Genomic DNA, 12,968 nt, shown 5'->3' with positions numbered 1-12,968 from the left:
CTGATGTTCTGTTGGCTGTTTGTCTGCTCAGGTTGCTGGTATGGCTAGGGTGTTCTTAATGTCGGGGCCCCTACCATGTCTGCCCTTCCCCTTTTCTGCCTTTCCCTACTCCACAGTGTTTCTTTGGGCTCTCCTAATTCAGCCCCCAGGAGAGGCTTAGATGGTTGTGCCAGCTTGCGTGTTAACAGCACTTCTCTTAAACATCTGGAGCAAAGCATGGAACTGAGGCCACGTCTTCCCTAGCCCAACACAGAAACAGCAGCCCCTGCCCTTAGCAGTGCTTTATTGGTAGAAGCAGAGCATGCTGCCTGGCCTCAGGCTCAGAGGAGTATTGTGGGGTGTCTGGAGGCTAGGACCGAGTGGTCTCTTAGTCATGGTGAGGGAGGGGAGGGAGGGCTGGGAAACAGTAGAAAGTGCTGTAAACCCTCCAGCTGACTTTTCTTGCCTGGGGTGCAAGACCACATGGCTTGGCTCCCAAGCCTTTGCACGTGGCGCTGATTCATAGCCTAATACCTAAGAGGCTCCCAAGGCGGGAAGGTCCATTGCTGATAGGAGCCCCCAGCCTTCACTCCTGGCTGGGGAACCCAGCTCTGAGCTGTAGCCAGCAGAAGCGTCAGCAGCCTGCACTTGCTCCAGGGAGACAAGGCAGCCTCATGGTCCTCCCCTTCCCCTTGTCTCCAAAAGTTGGAGACTTGGGATAGACTCCTGTGGAAGTAACAGAACTGGATAAGTCAGGAATTTACTGGATGTTTAGAAATGGAGCTGTTTTCAGGTATTAGTGACCAAGCTGAGGATAGTTGGATGCTCCTAATTTCCCCCCAAAGTCCTAGGGCCTGGAATTGACTGTCAGCCCAGAAACTAGCACATTGGGAAGCCACTTGGAAAGAGTACCTAGTGACAAGTTCTGTTTTCTCTGCTTAGAGACCTAAGAGGACTCAGCCATCCATCCAGGGAAGGATGTGAGGGCTTAACCCAGCCCAGGGTGCTGGAGGTGGCCTCCCCTTACCTGCAGAAGCCTCATGTCCCTCGCCAGGCTGATAGGTTCAACCTGGGGATACGGCTGCAGTTCACAAAGCCCCGAGGGTAGATGTTGGCTCTGAAGATGTCCCTTGAAACCGTGGTGATACCGGTATTGTCACATATAATTCGAGACAAGGAAATTCTGCTCAGGGCCTTGCGCTGTCTTTTGGTGAAAACACCTCGTTTCTGCCACCAGAACCTACCAGGCAGTCGAGAGATGTGGGTGAAGGCTGGGGAGGAATTACCTTATAATGAGCACCTGTTGTGTGCCAGGTACTTTACATATATTATTCCATTCAATTCTCACAAAATTCCTGCAAGATTGGAATCTCAGAAATGAAACAAATTCAGTGGCCAAATAAATTGCCCAGTATTAAGTGCACAGTAATTTAAGTGGCCAGGGCTGGATTTGAACTCGGGCAATACCAACTCCAAATAAGGAGACAGGTCTTTTTTTTTTTTTTTTTTTTTTTTTTTTTTTTTTTTTTTGAGACGGAGTCTCGCTCTGTCGCCCAGGCTGGAGTGCAGTGGCAGGATCTCGGCTCACTGCAAGCTCCGCCTCCCGGGTTCACGCCATTCTCCTGCCTCAGCCTCCCAAGTAGCCGGGACTACAGGCGCCCGCCACTACGCCCGGCTAATTTTTTGTATTTTTAGTAGAGACGGGGTTTCACCGTTTTAGCCGGGATGGTCTCGATCTCCTGACCTCGTGATCCGCCCGCCTCGGCCTCCCAAAGTGCTGGGATTACAGGCGTGAGCCACCGCGCCCGGCCGTCAGGTCTTAAATCACAAATGTATTGGAGGGAAACCAGATTTAGCCCTTTCTGCCCATGTTTTCTGGGATCCACCAACCCAGAATAGTGAGGCTGCCAGGCAACCTCTGGGTTTAAGATGACTCCAGCTCAGGCAATATGGGCCTTGCCTGGGTCAGTGTCTCTCTTCCTTTGACCCAGCTTTTCAGAGAGGAGCCTCCTGATTTCAGATCCTGTGAACTTGGAAGAAATGATACTAAAAAGAGCAGTGTTCTTCAATGTTTAGTCTTGAAATGCTAGTGTTTTTCTGCTCTGCCTCTGGTGCTGATGTCTTTTATGATAGGGTCACTTACCTGTCTCCGTCTCGGGCTCTTCTGAACTGGTTCTCGAACAGACAAGCCAGAAGAGGCCCCACTCGAGCCCCCGGCAAAAGAGGCTCAGCGATGGCCCCAATCCAGATGTCAATGTTGTCAGGTGTTCCATACAAATTCAGGAACTTCCTTGCCAAGTCCTGGTTTTTCAGCACCCGGCTAAGCTGTGCCAAATTCCGGGGCTGGGAGAGCCCACAGAAGCGCCTCCAAGCATTGTACCCTGCAGGGGAACGGGGAGAAGCAGCTTCAGTCTTGCTGATCTCCCATTAGCTTCTGTTTTTCTCCACCAGTCCTCTGGGGGGAAGCTGTGGCCAGTCAATATTGGGCAGAACCAGAAGATCCTGCTGGCAGAAGAGTCCCTAGAGCTTCCAAAGACTAGGTTTCTGTCCTCTGATTGAAAATGTGAGTGGACAACTGTGCTCAGTGTGCATCAGACTGAGGAGTGTGTCCTAACCTAAAAAGCTGTTTTAACCCAAAACTCATAACCACAAATCCGACACTTAGTGATATTACTGGGCTCGACTGCATTCATTAGACACAAGTAAGACAGTACCCAGAATATAAAAGACTCTCCATCAGGTTTGTAGAATGAATGAGTGAGCAAATGAATAAATGAATGAACAAGCAAACAAATGGAGAGCAATGATAAAATTCATCTACTCAGAAAAGGACGGCACACTATGATTCTGTTGATATGAGAGGTCCTGCATAGGTCAATATAGAGACACAAAGTATATTAGAGGTGATTGGGGCTGGGGTGGGGATGGGGATTGACTGTTCTTACAAGGTTTCTTTGGGGAGTGAAAATGGTGTGATATTAGATCATGGTGATGGGTGCATAACTCTAAATACACTAAAATCATTGAATTGTCTATTTCATATGGGTGAATTTTATGGTATATCTCAATAAAGAAGTTTTTAAAAAGTTTTCAGAAACTTCCAAAGACAAGCCATACCAATTTGTCAGCCATCAGGATCCCACGCAGGGCCAAGCCACATCATAAGATGTGACAATCAAGGTAGGAGATAGCTTTGCCATGTCCCGAAGGGACACCAGCCCAACGTCATCCATTGAACTACAGCTCACACACACCATCCCCCAGCGGAACCCATGAAAACCACACAGTATTTTACCATTACTGAGCACTATTGGGTGAATATCTCAGGACCCTCACAGCACCTTTTTGAGGTGCTTTTATGGCATGCTAACTATATCTGGTATGTTTACTAAAGTTGAGCAACCATAGGCTTCAGGGTCACTTTACTGTTAAGTGGAGCTCAAACCAGGTTGTCCAGTTCCCAGTTTGATGTTGGACTTGGGAAGGGATTAGAGGAGATTGCAAGAGCTAGTGTCAGGATAATATTTCTGGAGGGCACAGGTATTGCGGGGAGCAGAAGCTCGCAATGTGGAAACTTGGGTGGCTAGCGATCTCAGCTCTCCAGCTCTTCCTTTTATACCAAAGTAGAAGGCAAGAATGTTAGTCCAAACTGCACCATTTTCTAAGCCCCCCACCATTTCCCAGACCTTGGTCAAAGTGAAACGTTCCACAGGAGGTCGGGCCATGAAAAACATAACATACCCTAATGGGCAAAGGCCCAACTGAAGGAACATCCCTATCATATCCTGCTGGGCAAAGGTCCAAGGAACATCTTACCACATCCCACTGAAAAAAGGACCTGATCATAGGTACATCTTATCAATATCCTGCTGGGTAGCAAGCCATACGACCCAGACCCCTCCTGCCCATACCCATACCCATACCCAGTACCCCAGCTGTAGGCGGCGGCAGGTTCTGGCAATAAGCTGGTCCCCCACCTCTGTAGGTTTTATGCTGGAAATAAATACCTGCATTGGCTGTTCAGCCGCCCTCTCTCTTTGTGTCTTTCCTTAACCCTTGCCTTCCCTTCAAAACCTAATAGAAACTTGGGTGGCTAGCGATCTCAGCTCTCCGGCAGGGGGTGCCCACAGCTCCTTAGCTGCCAGGAGCGCCCAAGTTTAAGAAAGGAAAGAAGCTCAGGTTTCCGGAGTGCCTGCTGTGCTCTACCAGGCGCTGTGTGAAGTGGGGTGGGCAGTAGGAGGTGCCACCACTGCTTCATACATGGGCAGATGGGCCTTCAGGTTCTTTCTAGACAGGGAGGTAGGAGGTGGGAAGGAGAGAGGAGCAAGGCAGTGGCCAAAACCTTCCCCTACTGGGGTTGAACAGGGGGAAGAAAGGAGAAATTGTAAATTTAAATTCAGATTTTACTACTTCTTATTTATGTGATCTTGGGCAAATTACTAGCTGTCTCTGAACATAGTTTCTCATCTATAAAATGGCTGTAATCATTTGCTTCTCAAGGTGATTGGGAGAACAAAATAAATTAATATACATGAAAGTGACTAACAAAGTGCCTATATTTTCTTCTTTCCTGGGATAAAGTCATTTGTGCCCTCACCAAACAGCCACTGCAGCCTTAGTTTTATTCCACCTATTCCCTGCCTCTAAGGCTCTTTGCCTTTCTCCACTTAGAGCAAGGAGCGTTTCTGTAGCTCTGGAATTTTAGCCTTCCTCCTTGGAACTTGCCAGCGTGTTGGGAATGGAGCAGTTCTTCCCTGCCTTTTAAGCCTATTGCTTTTTTTCTACTTGGAAAGTTCGAGCCTCCCTTTTTCAGCTCCTGAGCCTAAGTGCTGGTCCTGTGGTGAACCTAAAGCTGGAGCCCCTACAGTGGATGGGGGAGCCATGGCAGGACAGCAAGCGGTGTTCCAGGAGTGCTTTGGGACATCGACCTTGGCCTTGCATGCCTCTGCACTCCTGCACATCCTGTAGACAGTCCCAGTCAGAAAGGAGGTACCAGGGTCTTCCCAGAACCCCTTGAGCAGCCTGGCCCGAGCAAAGCTGGGAGAAGAGGTGGACAGCCCCCTCACCTGGAAGGCCGTGGTCCCGGCTTCGTTGCATGTTGAGAGCTGCCAGGTCCAGCCCAATCCTCCTCACTTGCCGAAACAGCCGGTCCCGGAGCTCATCCACTAACATGGCATCCTGACGGTTCAGCTTGGCAGGGGTGGCCATGAGGCCCCGGAGGATGGGGTCGATGCCCCCTGGTGGCAGGGAATGTGAGCAGCACAGATTGGACCAGCCTCTGGGAAGCTACTTGGGTTATCACATGATGCCAAGCTAGCCCAGAGCTGGACAAGCCAGTCGGGTATGTTAGTAACGTTTGTCAGGAAACAGAGTTCTGGAGAGACATGAAGCAGCTGGAGCTGGGAGGTACTTCTTAAGGAATGGAAGGTGAGCTCCCCATCAATCTGACATTAGTCTCCACCCCTTTAAAAAATCCTCTCATTCCACACAGGATGGGAGGCCCGTGACTGAGGGTCTTGCTGGCACCTGCCTTGTTTCCACTGTCCTGGGGAGATATTAGCAGTGGCCTCTGCAGCAGCCTGGCTTCCTGGCAGTAAGCTTGGCCCACCTAGGGGAGGGCATGCTCCCCACCCTCACCCCCATTTGCCCCCTGGAAAACCTGGTCACCTTCATACACGATCCGCCAGCTGGCAAAGAAGGCAGAGCTAAGTGGGACATGCGAGTTGGGTGCGGAGGCCCGGTACTGACTGTCCAAGCGGAACATGAAGGGCTGGAGCATTGTGTGGCCAAAGCGGAAGGCCAGGGTGAAGACATTGGCCACCCGTGGGTCCACATTGGAGCAGTACCCCCTGTAGTGCCCCAGGGTTCTCCTGGCCCGGGCCTTGCCCAGAACCAGGGGCAGAAAGTCTCGGTAGGTGATGATCTGGAAGGGAAGACAGGAGGAACATTCCCCAGAGGCTACTCACCCATACCCTTGCCTTTTCAAAGGGTGGCTCAGACATATTCTTTATTGTCATCACGTCAAATGTGACAACATTAATTTACTATTGGTGGGTGGAGATACAAAGCCCAGAGAGGGTGAGTGACACAGACAGGGTCACACGGGAGTTAGAGGCAGAATCGGGGCCAGAGGACAGGTCCAGGTGCTCCGCCAGTTGCCCAGACCCAGCTGGTTTTAGGCACATCCGCAAGGATGTGTTAAGGACTGCTTCTCATGCCAAGCTTGTCATCTGGGGGATGCTGGGATGCAGAGCTCCTTACCTGGACCATGGCCCCCATGATCTTCCGAGCCTCATTGTACAGTTTGTCTCCATTCCACCGGGGATTCAGGCGTCTCAGCTCGGTGGCCAGCCGGTTGTGCTCTCGCATAAAGAGGGTGTGCATGGCTGCCAGTTTGGGGGTTTCCGTTGATCGGGTGTCACCTTGAAAACCCCAAGCTCAGATTTACTGCAGCCTTTCCCAGAGAAATGTCTTTCTACCAGGGTAGACCCAGGGCTGGGGATGGGAGAGACGGGGTGGGCCAAACTCCTGGCCCTCACTGGACCTCCATCTCTTCAGCTGTGCTGAGGCTCCTCATCGCCACCCTCCTCCCTAACACCACAGGCCAGGAGCGGAAGGACCGGGGGTTCCTAGCAGGCTTGGGTGAGGTGGGAAAGCACAGGGCAGCTGCTGGTCTCAGGCAGGGGCATCTTTGCCTAAGGATTCTACTCTACAAGACAACCAGATCCATAGCCTGGACCAGCTATGGGCAAGGGCACCTTGACTTTGGGACTGAGAGCCCACCTGTCCATGAGCTGCATCTGCCTGCGTGTTCTCTGCCAAGGGCTGGTGTACCTCTTCCTATCTTTGGGCTTGGTATAATACTGCTCTCCCCCGTGAACCAGAGGGAAAGAGGAAGAGAGGGAGGGTTGGGCAGAGACTGTCCTTACGAACAGACCTACTACAGGCAGGGAAAGAAAGTTAATTCCATCATTTGCTTGGTTTTAACTAAACCCTTTTGCACAAGGTCTTAGTTCAGTTGACCTCTCCCGAAGGCACAAGCTGCTCTTTCCAGGACACACAAATGTACAATCCTTCAAAAGAGGGGTTGGGGCCGACTCTCTGTGAGGAAAACAGTGGAATACAGTGGACTGGGCAGAGACCTTGATACTACACTGACTGTGTTCTCAAGTGGACTCTGTCATTTGAAACTAACTCTGTGCTCTTGGGCGCATGATTCACTTTCCCTGAGTCTCAGTTTCTTATCGTAAAATGAGAACAATAATAATTCCCTCCTTTCAGGGCTGTTGCAAGGTTTAGAGATGGCACATTTAAATATCTTGATAAGGTTGGGCGTGGTGGCTCACACCTGTAATCCCAACACTTTGGGAGGCCAAGGCAGGTGAATCACCTGAGGTCAGGAGTTCGAGACCAGCCTGGCCAACATGGTGAAACTCTATCTCCACTAAATATACAAAAATTAGCCAAACGTGGTGGCAGGCACCTGTAATTCCAGCTACTCGGGAGGCTGAGGCAGGGGAATCACTTGAACCCAGGAGGCAGAGGTGGCAGTGAGCTGAGATCACGCCACTGCACTCCAGCCTGGGCGACAGAGTGAGACTCCATCTTAAAATAATAATAATAATAAGATAAATATCTTAATGAGAAATGACTACCATTATTATTGTAACCATGTACATGGGACAAAAGACCCTGAGGAAAGTTCAAATTATGCTTCCAGAAGAGGGTATTAACTGTCTAGCAACAGCTGGGGACAGGGAGGAACTACGGAAATTTATCCCAGAGAAGAGAAAAAAAATGGAGATGGAGTTAACAGCTACTTTGAGGTATTCCTGCGTGTAAGAGGGACAGTGTCTTTTCTGAGGTTCCAGAAGCATGATTAAGGGGAATAGGTGAATATGTGATCAAAATAAGGAGACTTTCTAACAGTCGGAGCTGCCTGTGGCTGAGCTGGGGTGCCATAGAGGCGGTGAGAGCCTTGTCACTGGAGACGGTTAAGCAGTTATCTCTGGCCACACACAGGGAGCTTGCAAAGGGACTCAACGTTCTGATTCTATGATGGCTGTGCACAGATCCATGCTTATGGTGTGCCTAATACTGAGGTCCCAAACCATGTACCTTCACCACATCCCACCATTGCTTCCCAGTTGGGACCCCAGGGATGGCTGTTTCCTGGGAAGACACCACCTTCCTCCCTGTCTGACCTGCCAGGAAGCAGGGGATGCGCGCCGAGCGGTTGGTGAGGAGACAGGGGTCATCGTGCAGGTTGTCGAAGGGCAGCAGGGCCCGGCCGTTGTCTTGAAAGCGCTGGTTGATGGCCAGCAGCCCCAGGTAGTTGGTCCGGTTGCGGAGCCGCAGCGAGAGGGAGACCTCACTGCCATACACCATGCTGGCGTCCACAAAGGAGGTGAGCGCGTTGATCTGGTTGCGGACTCTGTTCTTGTTTTGGGGGCATGAGGGTGCCGAGCGGAAGAAAGGGATGCAGTCACGCTGGTTCTTGATGCGGGGGTCATTGGGTGGGATCTGAGATGGAAGAGGAGACAGTGACATGGGGCCCCCTCAATAGCAGACTCACTCCTCTCCGTCATCTTCCACCTCCTCAAAACCTTGCTTAAAACTCCCTTCCTCCAGGAAGCCCTCCTTGACTCACCCAGGCTCATGCTGCTCACCCCGTCAGTCTGAGTGTCCTTAACATTTTGTTTCATAGAGTCTCAAAAGGTTAGGAATGAATGAGGCTTTTGAAACAATCTCGATCCTCATTTTACAGCAAGGAAAACAGCCTCAGAGAGGGGAAGTGACAACCAGTTAGCAGGAAAGGTGGGATTAGAACTTAGTTCTCTTGACTCTTAGGCCTGAGCTTCTTTAATTCTGTTCAATTCGACAGACCTTTTCTAAGCCCCTTTCTTGCTTGCTGCTTTGGAGATTATGAAGGTTAAAAAAACACAGGAAAGGTTGCAGGAAGCTGGCAGTTCAGTGGAAAAAGACACACACACATAGAGTTAAGAAACTAAGTTGAAGTGGCATCTGCTGTGCTTGATAGAAAAGCCATATGTGGGCCAGGTGTGGTGGCTCACGCCTATAATCCTAGCACTTTGGGAGGCCGAGGCAGGTGGATTACATGAGGCCAGAAGTTTGAGATCAGCCTTGTCAACATGGTGAAACCCAATCTCTACTAAAAATACAAAAATTAGCCAGGCTTGTTGGCACATGCCTGTAATCCCAGCTACTCGGGAGGCTGAGGCATGAGAACTGCTTGAACCCAGGAGGCAGAGGTTGCAGTGAGCTGAGATTGCCCCTCTGTACTCCAGTCTGGACAACAGAGTGAGATTCTGTCTCAAAACAATAATAATAATAATAAAGAAGAAAGAAAGAAGGAAAGATAAAGAAAGAAAGGACGGAAGAAAGAAAAAGAAAGAAAAAGAAAGAAAGAAAGGAAGGAAGGAAATGAAGGAAGGAAGGGAAGGAAGGAAGGAAAGGAAAGAAAGAAGAAAGAAAGAAAGAGGAAGGAAGAAGGAAGGAAGGAGAGAGAGGAGAGGGGAGGGGAGGACATATGTTAAAAGTGTAATAGGAAGATCTGAGAAGGCTCCCCAGAGGAGGTGCCCCTAAGCCAGGGATTGAGGAATAGATAAGGTTGCAACAGGGAGAGGCCATCCAGAGGCCCTCACATGTCATCCCTCATGAATGTGGCCCCACCTATTAAGGGTGACTGTGTGTGTACATGTGTGTGTGAGAGGGAGCGTGTGTGTGCACGTGTGTGTGTGTGAGAGAGTGTGTGTGTGCACGTGTGTCAACCCTATGTTCCTAGCAGAGACTCTGCTCCCTGGATTCTATCTTTCCTCCCCTAGTGCCCCACACTGTCCTTGGCTTCTAGCCTGAAGGTTAGGACCCTACTTACAGCCCAAGCCCAAGAAGCTGGCAAGAGCCGCAGGACCCTTGGACTACTCTGGGAAGGAGAGAAGGGCAAGAGCTAAGAGGCCCTTAGGTTGCCAAAAGCAGGGGCCCAGAGGCTTCCCCTGTTGGATTCAGACCCATGGGTCAAGGCATGTGTCAAGGGCTTCCCACTCCATGAAGCCTGACCTGAGCCTCCTGGCAGATTGCCCTACCCCCACCTCTCAAACACACACGGCGCGGGGTCTCTGCTCAGCTGTGTTTCTTGTGTCTCTGTCTCATACCCTAGCTCCACAGGCAGCTCCTTAAGGATGGTGCTCCAGTCTTCCAGATCCCCACCCCCAGCACCTTGCCTTTGGGGGAGGCCACACAAGGGCATGGGAGATTGGCTGAGGGTAGGTACCTTGATGGGAAAGCAGGGGGGCAGCTGGGCGCAGGTCCTCTCACAGTCAACGCCTGCAGTGAAGGCCACTCTGGCCGGGGACTCCGGGGAGAAGTCCAGGTCATGGTCAATGAACTGGCCCCACTGCATGAACATGAGGGCTCGGCCACGGTCGGAGGTCAGTCTCTCATTGGGGAAGCGCACAATCTGGTTGGAGACAGCCCGGACCTGGTGGGGAAATAACATCAGCACGGGACATGGGCTCCCTGACCCCACAAGGTATTAGAGCCAACCCAGGACTCAGGGAGCAGCAGCTCCCCTGCTGGAATTGACAGCCTCTCCTCTTCTGCCCTCCATGCCCCTTTTGTCCCTGGAGGCGTAGCCACCTCCTGCTCTCATTCCTAGAAGGATGGTTTCTGGCTGGGCTCCTGAGGATTCCGGTGGTAAAGAGAAGGAGAGGGGCTAGGTTGACTGGCTCAGACCTCACCAGCTCTCCCAGAGGGGAAGGGAGATCAAATAGATAGATCAATTTGTACACTGATAGCTAACCAGATGATAGCACGGATTCACAGGTGCATGGGCTGGTTGCCAGGTGATGGATAATACACGTAGGGAGTACGGGGTCAGCAGATGGAAGGGTGGATAGAAGAAAATTAATTAATAGATGTTGATAGATGGGTAGATGATAGACTGCTCTATCGATATATCAATAGAAAACTGATGAGTTGATAAATGTGAAATAGATCAATAGATAAAGCCAGATTAAGGTATAGAGCTGTTTATATTTAGCAAGACTTTGACACTAATTTTCTCAGAAAAAACCGTACAACACCGTAATGGTTAGCATGAATAGATCATGTCCTCTATAGCTATTTATACCAAGGACTTCAATATCCACACAGGCTCTACGAGGTAGGTTTTAGGGCCATTTTACAGATGAGGAAACTAAGCCTCAGAAAGCTGTGTTATTTGCCTCAAGTCACTGCACTGGTCAGTGGAAGGGCCTGGGTTCAAGCCCTGCCTGCGTGACTCTGGGCTGTGTTTTACTCCCCGCATTTAAGAGATCAAGCAACCTCCCAAACCCTCAGCCCCAACTCACAAGAGGGAGAAGGAAGCCATTGCGCCTCCTGCTGGGGGTCCAGCCGAAGGGGAGCGACAGCCCATCCTCATACTCGGCGGGCAGCCAGCGAGCCAGAGCCTGGTTGGAGGCCCCTAGCAAGGGTCTCCTCCTGCAGCCATGGGTGGGATAGGTTAGCAGGGGGCAGGGCCTGGAGATGGCTCAGCATGGAGGGAGAGGGTGGGTGCAGGAAGGGAGAGGTCCCCCAGGCAGGGGCAGCCCCTCCTGCCGCCCCGCACGCACTTGTTGTTGCACCGTCCAGTGATGGTGCGGTACTTGTCGCTGCAGCGCTCGGCCTGGTCCCGGAGAGCACAGCCACTGGCCTGGGACAGCAGCCGCAGCTGTGGTTCTGTTAGCACATCTGTGGGAAGGCAAATGGGCAGACCTGAGCTGGCCTGCTCTGTACCTCCCATCCCTTTACCCTCTCTCCTCCCAGCACCCCAAACCTGTGCACCCTGCCTCCCTCTCCTGGATTCCTTCTACTCCAGGCCAGGGTAGGCCCAGCGGGCTCAGTGGGGATCAGAGTACCAGTGACATTGAAGGGTCCGGACCGCTGGGGTTGTAACTTCTCTTCAAGCAGCCCCAAAGCCACATGCATATAATCTGCGGCCCGAACAACTGTCCTGGTGGCTGCTACCGGTTGTTTGAAGTAGGACAGGAGGTCCATGGGGCTGGCTGAACCGCTGCGAAGCCGCTGCTTGATGCTGCCCAGGAGAGGAGGAGTGAGGGCTGGAGAGAGGGTGCAGACCCACCCAGCAGAGACCCAGTCCTGGGGCACAGTCAGGACAGGGCAAGCGGACAGAAGGATGGATGGAAGGGAGGCTCTACCAACAGGAAATGTTCATGGGGTCCAGAGGTGGCTGATGAGTGAGATGAACTTGGCTGGGGCCCATGCCCCTCACTGATCCTCCCAGGCCCATGCAGCCCCCAGACCCAAGTCCACCTCTTCTGGGTCCAATTGTAGGCAGCATCCACCAGCAACTTGGCCTCTGCTATGCAGTCTCGCAGGACCGAGGTCTCCACTGCCCCAGGGGAGGCTGTTCAAAGAGATGGGGACTCAGGGTTCAGCAAGCCACAAGACCCCCTCCAAGACCCAAGTGCTTCCCCTTCCATTTCCCCTCCCTCCTCCTTGCCTGTCTAGGGGACTATTACCTGGGTCAGTGCCCTCACAGGGCTGGGCGAGGACGAGTGTGGCCAGGACCCCTGCCAGGGCTGGGAGCAGATGCATCTCTGCAGCGAGGCTTCACCAGCTGGGAAGTGAGTGACATCCACAGCCTGCACGGGAGGATCCTCTGCTCCCCTCTCACTTTGAGGACCCCCAGCCGACCTCTCACTTCCTCCAGCTCTTCTCTGGACGTAGCTGGGAAGGGACTTTTATAGCCCATTCTAGGGTGGGGGAGGGCAGCTCTGGGCCCTAGAAACCCAGCCTCTTGGGTGGAGTTCTGAAACTTCTCTCTGGTTTTCATGGGAGTTTTGAGACTGAAACCCCCCACCCCACCTCCTACCAGCCTGGGGACATTCTTCCTGCCTACCCTTCACTCCATCCCTACCCTCTACTACCAAGCCCACTGATGCACTTCTCCCAGGGCCCAGAGCAGCACC

The 12,968-nt window shown here is 51.9% G+C and overlaps 1 protein-coding gene across 1 annotated transcript, besides 1 other annotated feature; it reads right to left on the bottom strand.

Annotated features, from left to right (window-relative positions):
* On the bottom strand, window positions 267-12,715 carry EPX (eosinophil peroxidase). The gene is made up of 13 exons (NM_000502.6): window positions 12,519-12,715; window positions 12,310-12,403; window positions 11,895-12,070; window positions 11,610-11,727; window positions 11,349-11,478; window positions 10,271-10,477; window positions 8,184-8,502; window positions 6,241-6,401; window positions 5,647-5,902; window positions 5,046-5,216; window positions 2,123-2,360; window positions 1,007-1,219; window positions 267-705 (listed from the first exon to the last, which is right to left on the bottom strand). Exons 1-12 carry the CDS (start codon window positions 12,592-12,594, stop codon window positions 1,018-1,020), a joined length of 2,148 nt encoding a protein of 715 aa, NP_000493.1. The 5' UTR covers window positions 12,595-12,715; the 3' UTR covers window positions 267-705; window positions 1,007-1,017.
* Window positions 4,518-5,361: an enhancer, noted in NCBI's record as "H3K4me1 hESC enhancer chr17:56277441-56278284 (GRCh37/hg19 assembly coordinates)". NCBI's record gives its function as "activates a minimal SCP1, AML or CMV promoter by ChIP-STARR-seq in naive H9 embryonic stem cells {active_cell/tissue: H9 hESC(naive)}" and the evidence as "EXISTENCE:reporter gene assay evidence [ECO:0000049][PMID:30033119]".

Source organism: Homo sapiens, chromosome 17, assembly GCF_000001405.40.
Source record: "Homo sapiens chromosome 17, GRCh38.p14 Primary Assembly".
Classification (NCBI taxonomy): Eukaryota; Metazoa; Chordata; class Mammalia; order Primates; family Hominidae; genus Homo; species Homo sapiens.
This window is presented reverse-complemented; position numbering and strand designations above follow the sequence as displayed.

Excerpts from the sequence above, each read along its gene's own strand:
- EPX (NM_000502.6), bottom strand. The coding sequence starts at position 12,594 with ATGCATCTGCTCCCAGCCCTGGCAGGGGTCCTGGCCACACTCGTCCTC. Across the intron at positions 12,071-12,309 it reads TACAATTGGACCCAGAAGAG|CATCAAGCAGCGGCTTCGCA; the intron begins GTGGACTTGGGT and ends TCTCCTGGGCAG. Across the intron at positions 8,503-10,270 it reads CCCCCTGCTTTCCCATCAAG|ATCCCACCCAATGACCCCCG; the intron begins GTACCTACCCTC and ends CTTCCATCTCAG.